The following is a 23,203-nucleotide window of genomic DNA, read 5'->3' as shown; positions in this document are numbered from 1 at the left end:
ACTTTCGCACTGTACTGTATTAACGGGACGGGTTGCATACTGGAATCAATTCCCCACTTTGCAAAGTTTCGTGGTTAACAGATGTGATTTCAATCACTGTAAACCTCTTAAAGAGTGGGACTGGTTCAGTTAATATGGTACTGTGCAAAGTGCAGAATGCCTGTACTTCACAAAGAAAGCATACCCAAAATGATAATGTCCATAATTGGCCACGTTTATTTAATATATTTAATTTTCAGTCTCATCCATCAGTTTTGCAAAGATTATTTTTGAAGTCTAGAAAATTTCTATCTACTCTGATGTCAGCAGCTGTTCCTACAACTAAAATTAGCATTTTAATAATTTCAACAGAAGTTTAAAAACCCCAACAAGATAGATCATTTTGTTTCTAAATCTCTTCATGTAGGCAAAAATGAATCTTTATAGATGGAGAAACTGACATTTATTAAAGCAACTATGTGCTAGGTGCTGTCTTAACAGTGCATACACGAACATGATTCTTCCCCTTTTTGGAGGCTAAGTCTGATGGGAAAGACTATTAACCAAAATAATAATCATGAGACAATGTGATAAACACTGTGAAGAAGTGATAGAATCACAGAAGACGGGTGCTGAAGGGGGCGGGGCTCATGCAGGAGGTAAGCAGGAACAGATTACTGTTCGGTGAAAGTCTTCCAGAGAAAGCGGCTAAACTGGGTAAGGGTGTGTGCCACAGGAGGCCTTAAAAAAGATGACTGAAACGCACTGAGATTTGCAAGGGTGAATACTAAACCACTTGTGGGAAACGTAGTGACTGACTAAAGTGGCAAGGAAGGTGGGACCAGAGATTCAAGGACTGGGAACGATGCCAAATCCAAGTGACAAATCTAATTTATATTTTAGAAACATTACTGCCTTGTGACAAACTGTAAACATCTTTTGAGCAGAGACTTATTAGCAATGCTCACACACATGTTGATAATATCTCCTACTCAACCAAAATAGTGAAATACTGTTTTCGCCTCATCTCATCTCGCTTACTCCTCATTCAAACTAATGACACAGCCCTTCTTTCTATGCCTTAGGTTCATTCCTGCCTGAAGACCTTTGCTCCTGTTATTCTCTTTATTTAGAACAATCTGCTTACGCATGGTTGGTCCCTTGTCATTTAGGTATCACAAAGTACAATTTATAAGTGGTTAGCATGTTAACGGGGGAACAGACCAGGAAGGATAAATTAATTTCATTTAACCATTCTTTCATCAAACTTCTTAAGGGATGGTAAGAGAAAACTGATGCTTTTAAATTCATCTTTGTCTCTTCCAACATCCACAACTAATGTGAAGTAGTAAAGCGGCAAGAAGAGCAGTAGGAAGGTTTTAAAAGCCTGTTTAACTCTCAGCCCTTCAACCCACGAGTTTGGCTCATTCAAGTCCACTTTTCAGTAATAGGAACCTGAAGACAATCCCAGAGCAGCAGCTGGAATTTTTCTCCACTATAGACAACTGTTTCCCACTCACCACTAGAGGAAATTCTTAGAAAAAGGACTTGAACAGACTTTACTTGCTATCCATCCAGTTCCGCAGCGACTCCGTAAGCACAAAGTTTGCCTTAGCGAAAGGTAACTGAGAAAGAACCAGACCAGAGTGCCAGCCTCCCCCGGCTTTACTCCGCGAAAGCCGAGGCTAGACCCAACGACTTGCGGAAACCGTCCCTTTCTCCCTACCAACTTATCTTACCTCTCTGTAAGTCCAACTTGGTTTCGCGGACATAATTGTCCGGATTCCGGCTCAGCATCTTCACCTTCATCTCGGTTGCTCTTCCGGCCGGACTCCACGAGGTGTCCGCTAGGAGTTCCGCCCACCGCCACCTCCTCCCACAGGCGACTTCCGCTTTTCCCAGACTACTTCCAGTCACGTGACTCGCGGAGCGGCGGCCTGCTGGCTCAACTGGATCCTGCGCCGCTCCGTAGTTTTGCCGGCAAACGTTAGCAAGGGGCGGTTCTTTAGCTGTGCAGTCGCTTCCGCGTCCGTGGGCTGGAGCATTTGTGGGCGAGGCAGGGCGGAGACTCGGGAGAGGCTGGGACCTCCCCTCCATCGCGCTTTCCGCCGGCGTGACGTAGTGTCTGTGCCCCGTTCTTGCCCCCTCAGTACTAGAGTCTCCGGCTTCGCTCACGCGCCTTGGGCATAAGAGTCCTCTCGTTGGTCCCGGAGGTGGGGTTGCGCTCACAAGGGGCGACCGTCGCCACGGTGGCGGCCACTGCATCGCGTCCCACCTCCGCGGCCCTGGGCGCCGTGGTGTCGACGGGCCCCGAGCCTATGACGGGCCAGGGCCAGTCGGCGTCCGGGTCGTCGGCGTGGAGCACGGTATTCCGCCACGTCCGGTATGAGAACCTGATAGCGGGCGTGAGCGGCGGCGTCTTATCCAACCTTGCGCTGCATCCGCTCGACCTCGTGAAGATCCGCTTCGCCGGTAAGAGCCCGCCCAGACACCGGGCTGCATCCTCTCACTGTCAGCCCGAACTGGATCTCCTCCGTCTTTTCCGTTCTAGGGGGAGGAGGAGCGTTGAAGGGAGCGTTGCTGTCCGCGTTGGCTAACCTGAACTAGATTTGAGGAAATGGTGCTTGGTGGAGGGGTCGGCCTGCGATCTTCCCCGCTCCTCAAGACTAAGAGAGGGGGCATGTATGTAGAGAAGTCTGAGAAAAAACATCCTCATTGGCAGAGAAGATGGGATTCAAAGCCTGATTTGTAAAATAAAGAAGGGATTGTCACATTTTAAGGTTTAGTCCTCACACGTGCAAATCATTCACTCTTGGAGGAACTTTGAAATCTTAGCATACCCACGTGGTTTGGCAGCTCGACTAGTATTGGGATAGGGCGTAATCTTCAGCGAATGGTTGGGAGTAGATTTAGAATAGAATTCTCTTGAATGTTTGTTTTTTGGCATTTGTAGAATGGTACAAGTTTCTGTGAAAAAATAGCTAGAATCGAAATACTATTTTAAGTGTATTAGATGAATTGAGTATGTTGAAATTAACAAAGCATTTTAGAAGTTAAACTCAACACTAAAGTCTGGAAAGAGTTTCAAAGATGATCTTTGATAACTGAAATTGCAGAAAATAGTTTCCAAATAAAGTTATTACAAGTTAAGTTCAGCCTTGAGAATTAAATCTACAGAAGTTGTTTATTTTAGCATTAGGCAATTCAGTTCACTTGATTTATATTCTCTTAATATTTGTAGACTGCTGTATGGGCTACAGAAGTATCTAATAAAGTTCTTGCCTTCAGGGAACTTAGAATTTAATTGTAGGCGTTAGACTTAGTCATATAAAAGGTAATTCTAGACAACATAAAATCAAGAAATACAAAAACAAAATATAAATACAGGTAAACCGTTAAGAAAATTCTACATTACTGATGGCCATGTGTATCTTTAAGGTTCAGTGGAAGATTGGGGCTTGGGGTTTCCCATAGAAGGGCTAATATTTTGACAGCTGGAGAGGAAGCAAGAACCCGTTCTATGAAGGAAAATCATCGAAAATTATGGAGTATTATCTCTAGAAAAAACACCACAAAGACATATAATGTCATGAAGTTTTATGATGCATGCACAAATAATTATGTTATTGACAAGTAATCTTTATCGAGTATTTACTAGGAGCAAGGCAGTGAACTATGCTTTAGATGCATTATCTCATTTATTATCCTGTAAATCTATTCACAGGAACAATCCTGTGAGTTTATGATATCTGCTATACAGATGAGGATAACAGAAGTTGACTAACTTGCCCAAGTCACAAGTTTGTAAAGATGGATCTGGGATTTAAACCCAGGTAATCTAACTCTGGAACCCTCTGGCACTTAACCCCTCACCGTATTACCTCTATAAGTACCTGTTATACAATGGTTTGAACATTGGAAGAATTTTAGACTTGCCTGCAGGTGCAGGCCTGTATGACTTGCTGTCTGTCTTCAGTAGCATTTTATCTAGGAGCAGAAGAGGTGATAGTCGAGGTGATCATTGAAGAATAGTGTGGTTGGCCTGATGAGTTTAGACAGTGCTTTGAAGCATATCATTCCTGAGGAAAGGGAATTCTTGGTACCTGAGAAGATTAATAGTCTTGATGAATTGGGAAGAGTATTAGGAGACTAGTGGGGCTGAGGTGACAGATAAAAGGATTGAGTTTGGATTGGAGGCCTAAATTAAAGATCCAGGAGTGGAAGCAGGACTTTGTAATAATAAAGCTCACAGTGTAGCTGTGAAATGGTGATAGGAGGAAAACTTAAGAAGATGAATAACGAAATAAAAATTTATTGATTATCAACATCAGTGCTGAGTAACATACTATAATTTTTATGCTTCCATGTAATTAAACTCATTTAATAAAGTTAAAATCTAATGATGACAGGGTGTGGGGGTTAATTCTGAATGCATGTGCTATTAAACCAAACCTGGAATTTTTCTGTGAGTTCAAGTATAAATTGGAACTCAGAGGTGTCCAGAGTGGTAGAAAGATTAGAAATTACTTCATATGAAAAATGACTGGAGGAACTAGTTTAGCTCGGGAGAGAAAAAAACCTCAAGATATTTAGAGAACTTACATGTGGGAAAGGGGGCTGCCTTATTGTGGGTTGATCCTAAGGTCAGACACAGGTTGAGTGGAAATTACAAGGAAGCAGATTTTGGTTTGGCAATGTGGCAGTGCTCAGAAATGAAATTGATGATGATCAGAAGTGGTTCAGATAGTAGTTGGATGACAGAAGTTAGAAGATATTCTTGTATTAGGTGGAAAGATTGGATTGGATGATTATTCAGGCCCCTTCTAACTTTACTCTGTAATTTTAAACCCTCAAGAATGATGAGAGAGCCCCAACAAAGAATGAGATGTAAAAATAGTAATTTTCTCAAATACCCAAAAGCCTAATCTGCAAGTTAAAGTTGTGTGTGAGCTTTTGTGAAGAATGTAGAGACTATGACTACATCCAAAATATTAAGGAACCAAAACGTAAAATTCAGTAACAGTAGTGCCGAGTAAAGTTGTGTAAGTATGTGGTATCGCAAGACCCAGTAGCATAAATAAACTAGTACTTACAGAGTGCTTGCAATATGTCAGGCATAATTCTAAGAGCTTTATATGTACTAACTGATTTAATCCTTTATAATTTTTAGAGTTAGGTTCTATTATTTTTTCCTATCTTACAGAAAAACTCAGGCACAGAGCAATCAAGTGACTTACTCAGGGTTGCAAAGTAATTGCTAGAACTGGGATTCAAGCTCAGAAAGTCTGTTTCCGTAACATATGCTGTTAGTTTGAAACCATGAGTGGGTAGTTTGGTATAGCTAAAGGGTAAATTAAAATGCTAGAGATGGAAATAAAGAATGATTCCAGAAAGTTAAGCTGCCAGATTGACATTATCTTTTATGCCATGTGAAAATGGAAACTGGCAGTAGAACCACAACCCTTAGTAGGGCAGGATGTTAGGAATAAGAGACCAGGACTAGAAGCACAGGGATGGCAGTTGAAGCCACTTAATGGTTGAGACACCACCCCTATTTGGTGGAAATTGTGCCTATAAATCAGCATTTAAGGATGGGCAGAGAAAAGGGGGCCAAGGAAATTTATTGGCAAAGAAGCAAGAGGACATTCAAGAAAATGTGGTGTTAAATGAGCCAGAAGAGAGGGATTTACACAATATCAGGTGTATTAAGGGGTTCCTAAGAAAGAGAGAACTCCAAAGTGCCTTTGAAGGTTCTTAATTAGAGCGCTTGCAGTAATTGGTAAAGCTCAAACCAGATTGCAGCAGGGGTGAGAGAGTCCCTGCTGAGATTGTCTCGGGGGCCAGGGAGGGGCTGGTTTTCTCATTGCAGACACTTACCTGATAAGGGGGCACTGAGATCAAAGAGGAAATACTTAGGAGAGACTTAAGTCTATTTAAATACTAATGGGAAAGAACTGAAATCAAGGAAGAAATTGGGAAATGGAGGCAGGAGGATAAAGAGTAACGTATCTAACTAAGGTGGGTTATCTGAAGAAGCAGGATCTAGAACAAGCATTTTTGACCAGAACGCTTAGTAGGAAATAAATTTTACCTTTGCTATCCACACACAAACATTACTGAAACACAAGTTTCATGAAACATTACTTATCCTTAACTACTTGTAATGTCATTTATATTTGTTTTCAATTCCAGTCTGGTTTTAAAGAAAAGATACTGGCAATCTGTTCAATTGGTTTCTTGATTCATCTGCAATTTTAAAAACACCAATATAGAGCACAGGTAGGGGGGAGATTAATTTTATTAAGAGAGACAAACTTGTCACAGAGGAAAGGAGGGGTAAAACTAACATCCAGCAAATGAAACAGGTTGTGTAAGGGTGATAGTGCTAGATGATAATTTTTTTAAAGTCATTATATTGTCTTTCTTTGAAAATGAATTTAAAATTAGTGTCCTGTCTTGGCTCCTTTCTGTACACCAAACTTTTTATCTTCAGCTTGTGTCCATTGGCATTTTTTTAGTGCTGTGATAGGCCATTGTAAGTTATTTGATAGGTACTTAGATCTACATACTAATTCATTAGTGGCAAATGTTTTTAAAATGATCATGAGGTCATTTAAGCCAGTGGTCCCTAACCTTTTTGGCACCAGGGACTGATTTCATGGAAGACAATTTTTCCATGAACGGGGGTGGAGGAGGTATGGATGATTTCAGGATGAAACTGTTTCACCTCAGATCATCAGGCAATAAATTCTCATAAGGAGTGTGCAGCCTAGATCCCTTGCATGTGCAGTTCACAATAGGGTTCGAGATTCTGTAAGAACCCAATGCCACCACTGATCGGACAGGAGGCAGAGTTCAGGCAGTAATGCAAGCAATGGGGAGCAGCTGTAAGTACAGATGAAGCTTCGCTCGTACTCCGCCCACCTAGGTCACCTGCTGCTGTGTGACCCAATTCCTAACAGGCCATGGATTGGTACCCGGAGTTGGGGACCCCTGATTTAGACCAAAAAAATTTACTGTATTTTATCGATATAACAATTTTAATTTTATGTTAGGGAGATTATAGTTCAGCATTGGTTTATACCTATGAAAAGAACAGGTAGTGTTTTTATGGTTGGTTTTGCTTTTTACCTCAAGAGAGAAATGGTATTGTGAGTTTATTATTGAGAGGAAAATGGAAAGTTCTTAGAAAAAGGGATCTATACAGAAGAATGAGACACACAGAATCCAGGGGAAGCATCAGAAAGTTTATAAACTATGCAGGAAAACCTTTCTCAAGAGCCTGTCATTCTGCTGCCTGCCTTTAAACTTGTTGTCTTATATAAACCTCAAAAAACCCGGTGAGGTACATGATTTATCCCCATTTTATAAGTGAGGATGCTGAAGCTCAGAAAGGGTAAGACCATGTAGCGAATTAGGGAGGTTACGTATCAAACCCAGGTCTTCTGACAAAACCTGATGTACTTTAATCTCCCTTCATGCTGTAACGTTGGCAGGTTAATGATGAAAGAAATTGACTTTTCCCCCTTTTCCTGGCAATGGTAAATAGTGATCCTTCTTTGCCAGGCTGGATTATACACAGTGAGGTAGTGGCAAGGGGACAGTGAACCAGGGATGCTGGTATGGCTAGTGGAGTGTAATTTGTATAAACTTTCTGGAAGGCAGGTTCAATACGTATTTGTAACTTAAGTTTATACCCATTGACCCATATCAGTTCCCTTTCTAATAACTAATTCTAAGGCAGTAATAAGCATTCATGCAGATTGTTGTACGGAATGTTGTTTAGAGGACTTTTTATAATAGCCAAAAAAAAAAAGAATTCATAGGTCAGGTGGAGAAATGACTGTGTAAATCATGGGATATCTATAAGATGGAAAACCATAATGTCATATGTTAAAATCTTATTTGGGGGAATCTGTTGAATAACAAGGGGGAGTGCTCACAAATAATCTTGAGTGGAAAACAAAGCTGTATACAAAATTATATATAGTAAAATTACAAGTTTGGATATCCTGTAGTATAATGTAGAATGGTATGCATAATGTAGAATGCCGTTGCCGATTACTGAGATACTTAATACTCTACTTATAGAATTAAGTGATTTTTCAAAGCAGTAAATAATTGATACTGTATTATTCCTTGTGGTTTTCTATAACCTGCTCACACCTTTGTAATTAGTCCTTTTAACTACCCCTCATGCCCTAGAGTTACCCTATTTTGAATGTGCTTTCTGTTTCCTACAGAGAGATGAAATGAAAAGTGCCAGATTTATAATCTAGATTATATTTTTTACAAAATTAGCAAGAAGACTACTTTAAATGCTGATGATACTAGTTGAAAACTGATGGTATCTCAAAGTAGGATGATGGCAGTGTGAACTGAGACATAGACAGGTGCAAGAGAAATTTGTGATGTGGAATCAAAAGGACTTGTTATTTGATAAAAAGGGATGGGAAGGAGGAGGGTTCATGGATAGTCCCCAGGTATCTGGTGTGGGCATCAATGCAGATGATGATGGCGTTTGTTGAGTTATATGGAACACTCTAGTAAGAGCAGCTTCAGAAGGGATGGGGAAAACTAGTTCAATTTTGGATATGTTCAAGTGAAATGCTTTTCTACTTTCTACTTGGATTTTGACATATGTTGGTGGGGAGGATAGAAAGAATTTCCAGGAAAAAAAGTTTACCCCATCCTCTGCATTTTCTTTCCTGCCACTCCTCAGTCTTGATAGCATTCGATATAAATTGAGGCTCCTAGCTAGTTTATTTTTTGAGTAATATTTTTTAACATTCAAATCCTTAACCTTGGAGCAAAAACAAAACCTAAGTGTTGAAACCTAGTTACCTAAGAGACTTTTGGATTAAGAGCTAATCTAATATTTCCTTAAATATTATTTGAGTGCTTAGTATGCCCTCAATAAACACTTGAATAAATTCATGAATGTAGTAGTTTTAAAATATTAAAGCCTGGGCTGGGCATAGTGGCTCACACCTGTAATCCCAGCACTTTGGAAGGCCGAGGTGGGTGGATCACCTGAGGTCAGGGGTTTGAGACCAGGCTGGCCAACATGGTGAAAGCCTGTCTGTACTTAAAAAAAAAAAAATACAAAAATTAGCTGGGCATGGTGATGTGTACCTGTTATCCCAGCTACTAGGGGAGCTGAGGCAGGAGGATTGCTTGAACCTGGGAGGCGGAGATTGCAGTGAGCCAAGATCGTGCCACTGCACTCCAGCCGGGGCAATAGAGCGGGACTCTGACACAAAAATGTATATTTTACATATTTATATATATATATATTTATATATATATGTAATATATATATAAAAGCCTGGAAAATAATTTTTTCTACCTAAAAAAGTTTTTCTTCTAAGTTTATCTCCTTTATATAACCAATTGTACAGTGTCTGTGTTTATATGTGATACAGAGCTAGAACTTTGTTCTTACCTGACTTTGTGTATCCCTTGATGCAGTGAGTGATGGATTGGAACTGAGACCGAAATATAATGGAATTTTACATTGCTTGACTACCATTTGGAAACTTGATGGACTACGGGGACTTTATCAAGGAGTAACCCCAAATATATGGGGTGCAGGTTTATCCTGGGGACTCTACTTTTTCTTGTGAGTAGATTTGGGAGATTTTACAGTATTAAATTAAAAAGGAATTTTTGTTTTCGGTGATTTTTACATGTAAATGTAAAATGATAAGTTGAGTCATTTAATCAGTTTCTCTGAATTGGAAGGATCAGGAAGAACAAAATGGCTGATTAGTTATTTGATTAGTTTGATTCAAAATGGCTTATTAGTTTGATTATCAGATGCCTATTAATAGCTAATGGCTTATTAGCTATTATCAGAGGCATTATTTGGTCTGGAAGAAAATTCTTAATAGGAAAAAGGCAAAGAGATGAGGTGGAATGATACTTTTAGAGAAGCCATTTCTGTGAGGTGAATTCAGGAAGATGAAATGTATAACTGATTACTTTTGTAAGCTAAATACATATTAAAGAGAGCTTTTTATTTTAGTTAAAGCCATTTGAAAAACAGCCAACTCCAGATAATTCACAATGAAATTGTAGGGCCCCATCGGTGTTTTATTAGGTGTTTTGGCCATATCAATACATACTTGTGAGCATTTCTAATTAGAGTCAAAATATTACTAGATTAGAAAAAGTTGAATCAGTCGGTTTGTTATTTATTAGTGATTTTGGAAAGTGATGTAGAGACTGGAAGAGCCTGCAGCTGTTGTCCAAAATGAATCCTGTGGATTTCAGCTCTCTTTGGTATTCAATTTTGATAAAGAAAGATTGTTTAAATAACTAAGTTATTTTTTCCGTTTATCAGAGATTAGTTCCGGAGTGTCCCAAATAGAAAATTTTATAAATACTGAAGTATCATTAATTACTTGTTTATCCTCAACCAGATTCCCAAGATATTTGAGATGGCTTACAAAAATACATTTGTTTATGATGAAGGTGGAAAAACAGAGAGGATAGACCTTAGGGTCCTCATATGAATAGGTACCACAGGAAATCGCTGTTGGGAACAGAAAGCAAAAGCCAGTGCATGGCCTAAAGGGTTTGAGGCAAATTGTTTCTTCTTGTTTGACCTGCCCCATCATCTTCCCAGCTCATTGCTTTCCTTACTCCTTCACCAGTCAGATATCATCACCATTTAAAATAACTGCTCTCACCTGCCTCCTGAAGAAGCCATAGAAAGTTCCTGTGGCAGGCACATTCAGCTTATTTAGTGAACAAGAACATGGACACAAACCATCATCGCACTGTATTGCAGGAGCATGTGCTGCTCTGAGCACGCCTCTGATCTGTGAAACTGAAACCATGAATAAGGAAGCTTTTCTTTGCTTCAACAGATTTCATTTTTAGGAAAACATCAGTATCTAGTGTATTTGCCTTTGTCTTCTTTGTGTCATATATTTTGCTTGATCTCCCATAAGTTTATGGCAGTATCCAAACCAATCTTAAAGTATCTTTTAAGTGAAAGCAAAATAAAATTCAGCCTTAAAATTGTTTAAATATTTTTTCTCTTTTTCTTCTCTTTAGAGAGGTGTGTGTGAAACTATATACACACACACCCCCCTTGACATATATATGTGTGTATAGAATGTATGTATATATGTATATATAGATATGTTTATGTATATGTGTGTGTGTATATATATATATATACACACACACACACACATCATGAATTTGAGTTGTATAGATTCTTCAAGACAGCTTCTAAGGACAAGCCATATAAAATTTTTGTGATAAGAATTTCTTGGGCCAGGTGCAGTGGCTCACACCTGTAATCCCAGCACTTTAGGAGGCCAAGGTGGGAGGATCACATGAGTCTGGGAGTTCAGGACCAGCCTGGGCAACATAGTGAGACCTCCATCTCTTCAAAAAATTTAAAAAAGAATTAGTCTGGCATCATGATGCTGCATGCCTGTAGTCTTAGCTAATTAGGAGGCTGAGGCAGGAGGATTGCTTGAGCCTAGAAATTCAAGGTTACAGTGAGCTATGATTGTGTCACTGCACTCCAGCCTGGGTGATAGAGTGAGACTCTGTCTCTGAAATAAAAAAAAAAAGAAAGAATGTGTTCACTTGACATCGTCATCCAAGAGAAAAGTAGAAATCGGCATTAAAGGAAATAGGCTGATTTGACTCCCTTACTCTGAAACATTTAATGGATATTTTCTACCAAATAAAATGCAAATCTCAATCTACCACTCAAGTGTGGCCAATTTTCCCTGTCTTCCCACCCACCCTTATTACTTTTCACCATGCTCATCTTTTTCCTTGTTGAAACTGTGCCTGTCTCAATACCCAGCTCAATACTACCTCCTACACAAAGCCTTCTGTGATCTCAGTCATAATTCCTGAATTTCTTCTATTGTCTGTGTTGTCTTTTATTATGATTTATTTGTGTGCCACTTAATAGTCCTTATTAATTTGTTAAGAAAAATTCATCACTTGTTTATCTTTTTATCATCTATTAGAAAGCTAACTATAGTACCTGAACGTAGGTGCTCAGTATATATTTGTTAGGTACCCCTTCTTTGGTCCCTTTTGTCTTTTATGGCCAGTCTGTGTACCACTACTGTACTCTCCCCTCCTCCCAGTTTCCTTGTCTTTTGAAGTTAATTGATGAGTGTCTGATTAAAATATTTTACATTTGTATTGCTAGCCGTATTCATTTGAGAGGGAGGGGTGGTATAATCTTGCAGCAAACCACTTCCAGCAAATTCATTCTTGAAAAAGGTCTCATTTTGTGGTTGCATTATGCATTGACTTGTGCTTTTGGGGTACTGCTGTTGACTTACATACACTTTAAAACAGACTTAATGACACCTATTCAAATTAAACTGCTCACATTTAATTCTTTTAGTTACAATGCCATCAAGTCATATAAAACAGAAGGAAGAGCTGAACGTTTAGAGGCAACAGAATACCTTGTCTCAGCTGCTGAAGCTGGTAAGGCAATGTGTGAAATATAAAAATGTCACCTTCCAAACTTAATTTTCAGTTTTGGTTTTTGATTTCTTTTCTTTGAACACCTGAGTTTAAATATGCCCATCTAACTGTATTAAATCAGTTACATGGAATTTCTGTTTTTTTTGTTTGTTTGTTTTTCGGTTTTTGGTTTTTTTTTTTGAGGCGGAGTTTCGCTCTTGTCGCCCAGGCTGGAGTGCGGTGGCGCTATCTCGGCTCACTGCAACCTCTGCCTTCGGGTTTCAAGCGATAATCCTGCCTCAGCCTCCTGAGTAGCTGGGACTACAGACACGTGCCACCACGCCCAGCTAATTTTTTGTATTTTTAGTAGAGATGGGGTTTCACCATGTTGGCCAGAATTGTCTCGATCTCTTGACCTCTTGATCCACCTGCCTCTGCCTCCCAAAGTGCTGGGATTACAGGCATGAGCCACCACGCCTGGCTGTTATATGGAATTTCTTAGCAGAAATTATTATGATTACTCTGTGCAGATTTCAAGAATTTTACTCATGACAAAGTGGTAAAGTTTAGAAAAGTTATGAATCCCTAATGGTTTAAAATGATTTGGTATAGTGTTTCTTTAAAGTATAATTTTAATTTTCAAATTATACAATTTAGTAGCCTTGTTTAATCGCCTCACTTATGTATACTATCCAGAAGGAAAAAACAGTAAGAGCCGTAAGTCTTTGTAACTCCTACTTTAATACCTTGATTTCTTAATGTTGATTAGTCAAAACCTAACTTAATCATTTTTGAACACATAGCCACTAGCAAAAACCTGAGTCATAACAGGACCAAATATTTGTTGAATAAAGGACTACTTAGGAAACCTGGCAAATGAGAAACTTAACCAGATGAATTTTTTAATAAAATTGTCACTCTATAAAGGATGTAAAATGTGACTTACTGTATTACATAATTATTTAATTTTTGAGGGGTAGTAGTTACTTTGGATTTGAGGAAGATTGTGATAAAGTTGGGGTAGATATATGTGTCACATGCACAGATTATTGGGGTGCCAGATTCCTGGTTCTTTTCGCCTATCTTCAACCCCTCTGGGATTATACCATGTGCTACACCTAAGGTCTGTATCTGCTTACCATCTGTTCTCTGCACCAGGCCACGTTGTTTAGGAGTCAAGACATTTTTGCTATCCTTACACTTCAAAGAGAAAGCATTTCACATTTCCATCTCCCTTTTAATTTACCTCTAGCTAACTGCATGAGGAACTTTTTATGACTACCAAAAACAATGTCTACCTTTTGACCCTAAGACTGTGCCTCAGAAACTACATTTCACAGTTTCAGATATGGTCCTGTGCATTATCTTTTTTTTTTTTTTTTTTTTTACATAAATGTACTGTTTCTAATTTGGGTTGTCATAAGTGCGAAAGTATCTGTATGCTGAATAATCTTATTGAAATCTCATTTTAGGAGCCATGACCCTCTGCATTACAAACCCATTATGGGTAACAAAAACTCGCCTTATGTTACAGTATGATGCTGTTGTTAACTCCCCACACCGACAATATAAAGGAATGTTTGATACACTTGTGAAAATATATAAGTATGAAGGTGTGCGTGGATTATATAAGGTAACAAATTATCAATATATTTTAAATAACTGAAAAATTTGAATTTCCGTTGGCTCTGTTGTCTTAGTTCTGAATGACCTATAGTAAGTCCTAAAAAGAAGCCACACTTAGGCAAAAAACAATTTAATGAAAACTGAAATATAGTTAATAATACTGAAATTGTACTTTAAGCTGTTTGTCCCCATTAACATAGGATGTATCATCATGACATTGGTGGGCATGAGATCTGTCTAAAACTTTGTCAAGTTTCTATTTGATAAGTTATACAACCAGGTCACTTATTCCTTACTCCATTCCTTGGAAGCTGTGGTCTCTTGGGGACCTGGGATAATGTAGTCTGGAGAAGACATTAGCAGTTCTAACAGGATCTTATTTTATTGAGTTTTTTTATTCATCTCAAATCTTACATAAATTTAAAAATAACGAAACAAATCAAACCCAGCCTTTTGCCTGTTGTAATATTTTAAAAATTTTTTTCCTAGTGTCAGATCTGTTTTCTGATTTTATAACTCCTTTTTATTTTCCCCTTTTCTGCCTTCTATTCCCATCTATTGCTTATCCCCATAAAGAAATTTTTAGGCATACATAGGTTAAAATCAAAATTAGACACATTGAATTTCAGTTTGTTTTTCAAGAATTGAGTAATAGCTTTTAAAATCATTTTAAGGCTGATATGATTTTACTGACCTATAAGCAAGAATTTTATAAATATATTATTTTTATGTTTTTTCGTCACTTTCTGCCTTATTCTTTCAGAATACCTATGCTCAGTTCATTGATTTACCATTACCTTTAGTTTCTTAACTTTCCAGAATTTAGTTTCCCACTCACACCTCAAGTCTTGACAGTGTGGGTCTTCTTTATATGTATACTGTTTAAAGAAAAACTAATATGTGAACATCCAAACCTTTAAAAATAAAGTAGAAGAGAATACTACCCATGTCTTTATATTACAAGTTTTTAACCCCATATTTTAAAAATGTGATTTGTGCAAAATTAAATGAATTTGCTTAAAGTGCTGTAATGAGAGAGAAGAGAAAGTATTTTACTTAAATATATTGTTCTTCAAACGTATGTTGTTTTGCTTTTTAAAAATCATTCCCTTGTAGGGATTTGTTCCTGGGCTGTTTGGAACATCGCATGGTGCCCTTCAGTTTATGGCATATGAATTGCTGAAGTTGAAGTACAACCAGCATATCAATAGATTACCAGAAGCCCAGTTGGTAAGATTATTCTTGTAAAAATGATATCATTTCCTTTTATGGGTATTTAATAGGTAGAAATTTTTGTCATGCTTACTTTGGTGGTAGTGCTATGATGATGAGTACTGGCTCTGCCACTGATTTAATTTATAGTTAAATATTTATAGGCTGAAGCCACACAAATGTCAAAAATAGAATCCCTTAAAGATCCATTTAAATGTTTTTTGTATATAATTTTTACTTCTGTATTTTTAAAGAAATCCTGTCTAAAGAAAAAACTGTTTTGTATTGCCATTTTAGAGCACAGTAGAATATATATCTGTTGCAGCACTATCCAAAATATTTGCTGTCGCAGCAACATACCCATATCAAGTCGTAAGAGCTCGTCTTCAGGATCAACACATGTTTTACAGTGGTGTAATAGATGTAATCACAAAGACATGGAGGTGAGAGCACGTGCTATATCAAAAATTGCTTTGACAAGGTACCTTGCATATCTTAGACCATCCTGTTGATACTAGTTTTATAGCAAAGGCCAGTTTGCTGTGGTGAAAACATGATTGGTGGTCCCTGCTTTCCCAGTTATTACGTATGTGACCATGGCCTTAATCTCTCTGAGACTTAATTTCTTCATTTGTAAAGTAAGACTTTCTAACTAATAGGTTGTTATAAGAATCAAATTAAATGTGTGAAAATGTTTTGGAAAATAAAATTTAGGTGTTATAAAATATCTGAATGGTATTGAATATAAGAAGTCATAAGACTAGCTTAATACATTCAAGAAGGCTCCACACCTGCTACTGGCACCATAACTTTTGCAAATACTTGTTTCCATATATGAAAGAGATGTTTGTTCTTCAGTATGAGACTAGTTAAATTATTATAGGCAGACATCACCATATTTCCCTTTAATTCTAAAGGAACAGAGGAGAACATTTAGGATGTTTAAATTTAATTCAATTCAAGAAATATTTAATGAGCACCTAAGTGACAAATTTCTAGGCCGTATTCCATATTATTGGCATTAAGGAAATAAAGTTTTATATTTGTATGTGCTGTATTTAATGTTGGCTAGCATTTATCCAAGCTATGAGGTTTTTTAATGCCTACATTAGGTCAATTAAAACTCCTGCTTGTACATACATTTAAAAGCATTTGAAAGATAGCTAATTGAAAGCACTTTTTAGTTCAGTTTTGAGGTGTCCCTACCCTCTCTTACTCAGTCCATCCATAAAAGGAATGTAAATCCCTACAGATGGCTTATAAACTACATTACTTTAGGACATTGAAAACATGAACTTAAATCAGAGTAAGGTTTGACTGCTGCTTGCTCCATGCCTTGTGTCAGTTAGAACTTCCGTGTTTTCAAGCTAGCTCTATACAAAATTAAGCATTATCTATTTTTCCCTCTAAAGGAAAGAAGGCGTCGGTGGATTTTACAAGGGAATTGCTCCTAATTTGATTAGAGTGACTCCAGCCTGCTGTATTACCTTTGTGGTATATGAAAACGTCTCACATTTTTTACTTGACCTTAGAGAAAAGAGAAAGTAAGCTCAAAGAGGACAATTCCAGTATATCTGCCCAAGGCAGCAACAAGCTCTTTTGTGTTTAAGGCATAAAAGAAGAATTCTGCATAGAAACATGGCTCATATTCGAAATTGCTCTATAGTCATTAGAAGCCAGAGAACTGCTAAGTCTCCTGCAATGTTTTTCTTGCTTTTTGCCTTCCCCATATATATGGAACTTGGCTACCTCTGCCTGAAATGGCTGCCATCAACACAATGTTAAAACTGACACGAAGGATAGAGTTTCACAGATTTCTACGTTTTATTGGTGGAAGCTGATTTGCAACATTTGCTAAATGGATTAGATGAATGTACTTCTTTTTGTGAGCTTACTTGCCTGGATTGCTTTAAAATTAACCTTTGTGCAATACCAAGAAAATAGCTCTTTAAAAGAATGTCTTTGTATGTCTCAAGGTAAATTAAGGATTTACTGAATAAGGTGTTGACCAAATCCAGACCATTTTATTTTATTTTTTTATTTATTTATTTTTTGAGATGGAGTCTTGCTTTGTCGCCCAGGCTGGAGTGCAGTGGCGTGATCTCAGCTCACTGCAACCTCCACCTCCCGGGTTCACGCCATTCTCCTGCCTCAGCCTCCTGAGTAGCTGGGACTACAGGCACCTGCCACCACGCCTGGCTAACTTTTTTTTATATTTTGAGTAGAAATGGGGTTTCACCATGTTAGCCAGGATGGTCTCAATCTCCTGACCTTGTGATCCGCCTGCCTTGGCCTCCCAAAGTGCTGGGATTACAGGCGTGAGCCACTGCGCCTGGCCAGACCATTTTAGAATTGGGAAATTTTAGTGAGAAAAAATGCACTGTAAATATGCTTTAGTTTTAATTCAGTTGGGATGCACTACCTAGCGAAAATTGAGAAACTATATACTTCTCAGAGAAATATCTGACATCTATTGTCATTCCATTGCTATTTTTTTTCCCCAGAGACTTCCATAATTTAAAATAAAATCCTAGATCCAGTTCTTGTTTTTTGGCATAAATACTTAATCTATTTTAAATTTATAAAATCTGAGCTTCTAGGATCCAGCTGTGTCAACCTTTATTTAGCATATATAACTATAAATCACTTATTACAGATGCTAAATAGATCACCTTTTACAGATGCTGAAATGTTTGGGATATGTTTGTTGACAAGGTAAATGGAAATGAGAAACTTTATACTTCAGTTTTCAGATATATGGATCTAGATCCCAAATAAATGATTAATCTTCATTGGTTTCTCAAATTCAGGTTGAAATACAAATTAATAGCCTTTATTGATTTTACTTTTATGAGTCATTGTAGACATCTATAAATATAAAAGGGCCTGTACCCAAAGGATGCCAGAATACTAGTATTTTTATTTATCGTAAACATCCACGAGTGCTGTTGCACTACCATCTATTTGTTGTAAATAAAAGTGTTGTTTTCAAAGCCATCTTTAAATAGTTCTTTAAAAATAGGTCTTTTTTTTATATTTTGGAAAAGGCATTGTTTTTAAAGTAAAGATAAAATGGTAAGTACCTAATTGTATTTACTGTAATATCTTATAACATGCAGATGAATGCTTTATAAGTTAAATATGATGTATTTTTTCATACTTCTGGATTATACTATAATTCATATGAAATCTTGATATTAGTCCCCACACGGAAAAAGTGAACTGCAGTTGATATTTGGTGTTTAAGATAGCACCATTGTTTAAATACCGCCTATGTACTCCCAAATGAATAAAACATAATTCTTGTCCTCTGAGAGCATACAAGCTTGTGTGATAGATAAATATGCATTAAATAATTACAGCTATAGATTAAGAACTCGTAAGGAATATCTCACAAAGCCTGGTAAGAGTTCTGACAGAAGAGAACTCAATTTCAGTCATTCAACAACAAATAGTCACTCAACTCCTGCTCTTTGGCAGGTACGTCACCAAGCACTGAGGATATAGCAATAAATAAGCCAGACAATATTCCTGCCCTCAGGGAATTTTCATCTTGGTGTAAGTGACAGAAAAGGAAATATATGCATAATGTAATTTCAGGTATTTAATGCTATAAATAAAACTACAGCAGAACGGGGGAATAGTGTTGCTATCTTAGGTAGTATGGTTGGGGTCAGGAAAGGTCTCTGAGATAGTATTTGGAACATTTTGAAAGAAGTGAGGAAGCGAGCCACAGTGAGAGGAAACACATTCTAGGCAGAGAGGACAGGAAGTAAAAAGGGCCTGAGGGAGGAATTAAGTTGGCTAGAGGGGATGGGTGAGGAGAGAGAGGAGGTTGGAGAAGTGGCCACTGCAGTATGGTGGGAAAGAGCTCAGGTGGGACAGCCAGGCCCTCTGGCTTCAAAATTCAGCTTTCCCATTTTCTGTTTGACCTTAGGCAGATCACTTCAGCCCTCTTTGTCTTAGGTTTCCTGATCTGTAAAATGGTGTCTTAGATCACTTCCTCTGTAACAATGCCGGAGATGGGGATTCTTGGGCAAGTGATTGAGGGAGCACTTTCAGGAGAAATCTGTAATGGAGTAAAGCAAGCAGGGTAAGGCCGGGGAAGAAGAGTTTCAGGAGTAGTGCAGCCTCACCCTGACTCATAGGGCACTCTGCTGAATGAATTGGGCCCAGCGTTGTCCTGCCCAGAGTTGAAGGGGCTGAGCCATTAGGTTCCCACATCAGGCTGTCACGGACCACTGGCTACAGGGAGAAAGGATGGAGGAGTGACTGTTACCTCTCCTCAGCCAAGGGCAATCCTCCAGATAAGGGTGGAGGTGTCAGTTCTTACCAGCCAACACCTACAGCAGCTAGGGTATGGGTGCACCAGTCCTGTGAAAGGGGTCTGGGTAAGTCACCAACAGCATCTACTGCAAATGAGGATATTAAAAGTACATAGCCGTAGGATTATTGAGAGGATTAAATTAATGAATTTTTAAAAGGCGCTTAGTGTGCCTGGGCCAATAAATGTTAGCAGAGACCAGGCCTTGTAGGCCATGGTGAAGAGTTTTGATTGAGAGATCATTCTGGTGATTGTATAGAGGAAACAGGAGAAAGGCAAAAAAGCAGGAATACTAGTTGGGAAGCTTTTACAAATGTCGAGTCATGAGCAGGTGGCAGCTTGGACCTGGTCGATGGAGTCTGAAGTGGTGATTTATAGCTTGGGGGAACTAGAGCAGGGTTCATGGAGGGGGAAACATTTAAGCTGGGCATTGAATGAAGATTCCAGAGGGAACCATGGAAAAAGGAAAGCACAGGTGACCTGCCTTGAACAGTGAGTTGTCAATTAATGTGATAATAAAAGGAAAAGGAAGAGAAAGATGGAAGATTGAGACCAGGACATGAGAACTCTCAGAGCCTGACAACCTATGTGGGCTTTATTGGGTAAAAGAGAAGTAAGAGTAATTAGAACAGAGAGACATGGCTACTGCTTAGGGGTGACAGAGGAAGACTGGTCAGACAGGAGGAACAAATTCAAAACAGAAGGTGTTAGTCAACCAATAGATATTTCAGTAGGATGAAGATTGATGCCACTGATAAAGCAGATTTGAATTATAGAGGCTGATGACACATTGCAAGCAACTTAGGGGGTGGGGTGACTGTAAGTATTTATTTCACTATGGGCTCTTCTTTCCTGGATTTTGGCAGATGAAAGGAAGGTAAAGAACTTTAGCTTGTAAAGGTACTGCAGTTCTACGAAGGAGTATAGGTAGGAGAGGTTGGCAAAGGGAAAACCAGAACATGGCTGTAGGGAGAACCCTTGAAGATAAAGATACAGGCTAAGGGGATGGGCACGGTGGCTCACGCCTATAATCCCAGCACTTTGGGAGGCTGAGGCGGGCGGGTCACGAGATCAGGAGATCGAGACCATCCTGGCCAACATGGTGAAACTTACTAAAAATACAACAATTAGCTGGGCGTGGTGGTGCGTGCTTGTAATCCCAGCTGCTCTGGAGGCTGAGGCAGGAGAATAGCTTGAACCAGGGAGTCAGAGGTTGCAGTGAGCTGAGATCACGCCACCGTACAACCTGGCGACAAAGCGAGACTCCGTTTCAAACAAACAAAAAAAAAAAACCAACTTGCTGGAGCTGTGCACCAGAGAATGTAATCAAAGACAATGGACAATGATGGGTACTATGCCTTGTGAAAAGAAGACTATCATATTTCAATACGTGCTTTTGTAGTCTGACAATATTTAGAAAGTCATGTCTTCTAAACACACTAAAAGAGGGATATCAACTAAAAAGTATGTTGGAGTTTATGAGTCATCAGAGTTAATATTTTCTTTTGAATGTGGACACTTAATATAAAATCCTCCAGATAAAGTATGTATTATTACCATTTTTATAACAAGGTCTCTTTAGCTATTGTAAAATAGCTTATAGGAAGAAAATCCTATGACATGATTTAGTTACCGTTATGCCTGTTTTCAAAAGATGTGTTAGGTAACATGCAGAAACTATGTGAGGTTTGGGGTTAAAGTCTTAAATTTCATTCTAAAGGCCTAAATAGGAGAAAGACTCTGGAAGTACCTGTAATGAATACCTGTTAATTGGCTGCACAGCATCCGTCTCTTCTTCCTTCTTGGAGTAGTAGTCTAAAGTTCTTTTTTTGTTGTTGTTTATTTTTTGAGACGGGGTCTCGCTCTGTCACCCAGTTTGGAGTGTAGTGACGTGATCACGTGATCATAGCTCACTGCAGGCTCAAACTCCTGGACTCAAGGGATCTTCCCACCTCATAGCTGAGACTACAGGCATGAGCTACCTCACCTGGACCCTGAATTTCTTTTTGGAACCTACCCCCTCCCTCCATTTTCAGTTTTGTGATTTAGATGGGATCAGCCTCACCTGCGCCAGAGATAGGCCCTAATAAACAGAGCCGACCTGAATGTGCCATCTCTATTCATAACGAGTGGTTTGGAATTGACATAGTTACTTAAGCTGGTCTGATCAGTGACTCTTAAAGACATTTTCCCCCTGATTACATAAATTCTCTCTTTACTGTTTCATGAATCCTCATTAGGGGTGACAGAGGAACCTCCTCATTCATGAAACAACAAAGACAGAATTTATGTCACTATACTCAAGGTGAAAGAACTTAGAGCTAATTTTTAGAGCTTCTCAAAGCCAATTTAGAATCATAGATTAAGCAGAGTTAGTTTGTCCAAAATGGAGTCAGCACCAAGGAAGTAACAATAAGAAATTGAAAGAAACGAACTAGGTACTTTGTTGTGTTGCATGGGATTCTGGATCAACCCTTACCCCTAGCAGCATGTACTTCTGGAGTTTTCAGCTGGGTGACCCAGTAGATTTCCTGGGGGTTTTTTGTTTGTTTGTTTGTTTGTTTGCTTGCTTGCTTGTTTGTTTTTGAGATGGAGTATCGCTCTGTCGCCAAGGTGGGAGTGCAGTGGCATGATCTCAGCTCACTGCAACCGCAGCCTCCCAGGTTCAAGCAATTCTCCTGTCTCAGCCTCCCAAGTACCTGGGACTACAGGCGTGTACCAGCACACCTTGCTAGTTATTATATTTTTAGTAAAAACAGGGTTTCACCATGTTGACCAGGCTGGTCTCGAACTCCTGACCTCAAGTTATCTGCCCACCTCAGCCTCCCAAAGTGCTAGGATTGCAGGTGTGAGTCACTGTGCCCGGCCGACTTCCTGTATTTTTAAAGCTAGTCTCAGTTTGGTTTTTCTATCACTTGCTGCAAGTGAAAACTTCGCGGATGACACAGAATCTGTTATACCCTGAATTCTGTATGTCACTTCCCCATCAGCTGTTTTGATCTAGGTGGACTCTTGTTTCTGTGGAAATCGAAGTCACCTTTATGAAAATTGAGCACTTTGGGGCCATTGTGTGGTCACATAATTTCTTTAAAATGTGTTCAGTTTTATAGGAAAACATTGTTTGATATTTATATAAGTTAAAGAGATTATTCAGCTCATGAAAGGCACAAAGGTAGAAGATTTATAGAAAAATAAAATATGCTTATGGTGGAAGGTCCAACTGTACAAAAGTTGGATGATTTGTAAGTTCTCCCTGGTAGATTTTCTGAGATCTAATATTCCAGAATTGTGTTTAGTATTAAATTTCAATATTATGATATTGGACTTGTACCACTGTAAGGCTAGGAAATTATAAAACCAGTTCACATTGAACATAACAAAAGGAAAAGCTGCAAGCTGTTTTTGTTAAGTGATTCACATTGATCTCTTTCCCACCCAGGTTCCAAGCCAATCCAGACATAGACAAGATGTGGAAGAGGGAGCATGGGATATTGCATTTATTAATGATAAAGCTAAAATTAGATAATGAGGCTTATATAGGTGTAAAAGTAGGTTCCCTTATACCAAGCCCCAGAATCATATACCCATCTAACCACAGACAAC

General features: G+C 38.7%; 2 protein-coding genes across 5 annotated transcripts in view, besides 3 other annotated features; one reads left to right on the top strand and one right to left on the bottom strand.

Moving 5' to 3' along the window:
- Nucleotides 1-1,849, bottom strand: part of DCAF13 (DDB1 and CUL4 associated factor 13) — a 28,068-nt gene extending 26,219 nt beyond the window's left edge. For both annotated transcript variants that reach the window (NM_015420.7, NM_001416065.1), the window contains exon 1: nt 1,719-1,849. In NM_015420.7, the coding sequence (NP_056235.5) occupies nt 1,719-1,788 (70 nt within the window). In that variant the 5' untranslated portion in view covers nt 1,789-1,849. The remainder of the gene's footprint in view (nt 1-1,718) is intronic.
- Nucleotides 1,768-2,107: an enhancer, noted in NCBI's record as "active region_27791". NCBI's record gives its function as "activates an Ori minimal core promoter by ATAC-STARR-seq in GM12878 lymphoblastoid cells {active_cell/tissue: GM12878}" and the evidence as "EXISTENCE:reporter gene assay evidence [ECO:0000049][PMID:35858748]".
- Nucleotides 1,768-2,462: a biological region, named in NCBI's record as "H3K27ac hESC enhancer GRCh37_chr8:104427001-104427622".
- Nucleotides 1,841-2,462: an enhancer, noted in NCBI's record as "H3K27ac hESC enhancer chr8:104427001-104427622 (GRCh37/hg19 assembly coordinates)". NCBI's record gives its function as "activates a minimal SCP1, AML or CMV promoter by ChIP-STARR-seq in primed H9 embryonic stem cells {active_cell/tissue: H9 hESC(primed)}" and the evidence as "EXISTENCE:reporter gene assay evidence [ECO:0000049][PMID:30033119]".
- Nucleotides 2,128-18,597, top strand: SLC25A32 (solute carrier family 25 member 32). Of its 3 annotated transcripts, NR_102338.2 has the most exons (8): nt 2,128-2,451; nt 3,704-3,812; nt 9,451-9,601; nt 12,374-12,459; nt 13,911-14,071; nt 15,181-15,294; nt 15,574-15,719; nt 16,689-18,597. NR_102338.2 is itself a non-coding variant. In NM_030780.5 (7 exons), exons 1-7 carry the CDS (start codon nt 2,298-2,300, stop codon nt 16,822-16,824), a joined length of 948 nt encoding a protein of 315 aa, NP_110407.2. In that variant the 5' UTR covers nt 2,128-2,297; the 3' UTR covers nt 16,825-18,597. The 3 variants fall into 3 exon arrangements, 1 of the variants encoding a protein (NP_110407.2); NM_030780.5 differs by lacking the exon at nt 3,704-3,812; NR_102337.2 differs by lacking the exons at nt 3,704-3,812; nt 12,374-12,459.

This window comes from Homo sapiens, chromosome 8 (assembly GCF_000001405.40).
Source record: "Homo sapiens chromosome 8, GRCh38.p14 Primary Assembly".
In the NCBI taxonomy this organism is placed as follows: Eukaryota; Metazoa; Chordata; class Mammalia; order Primates; family Hominidae; genus Homo; species Homo sapiens.
This window is presented reverse-complemented; position numbering and strand designations above follow the sequence as displayed.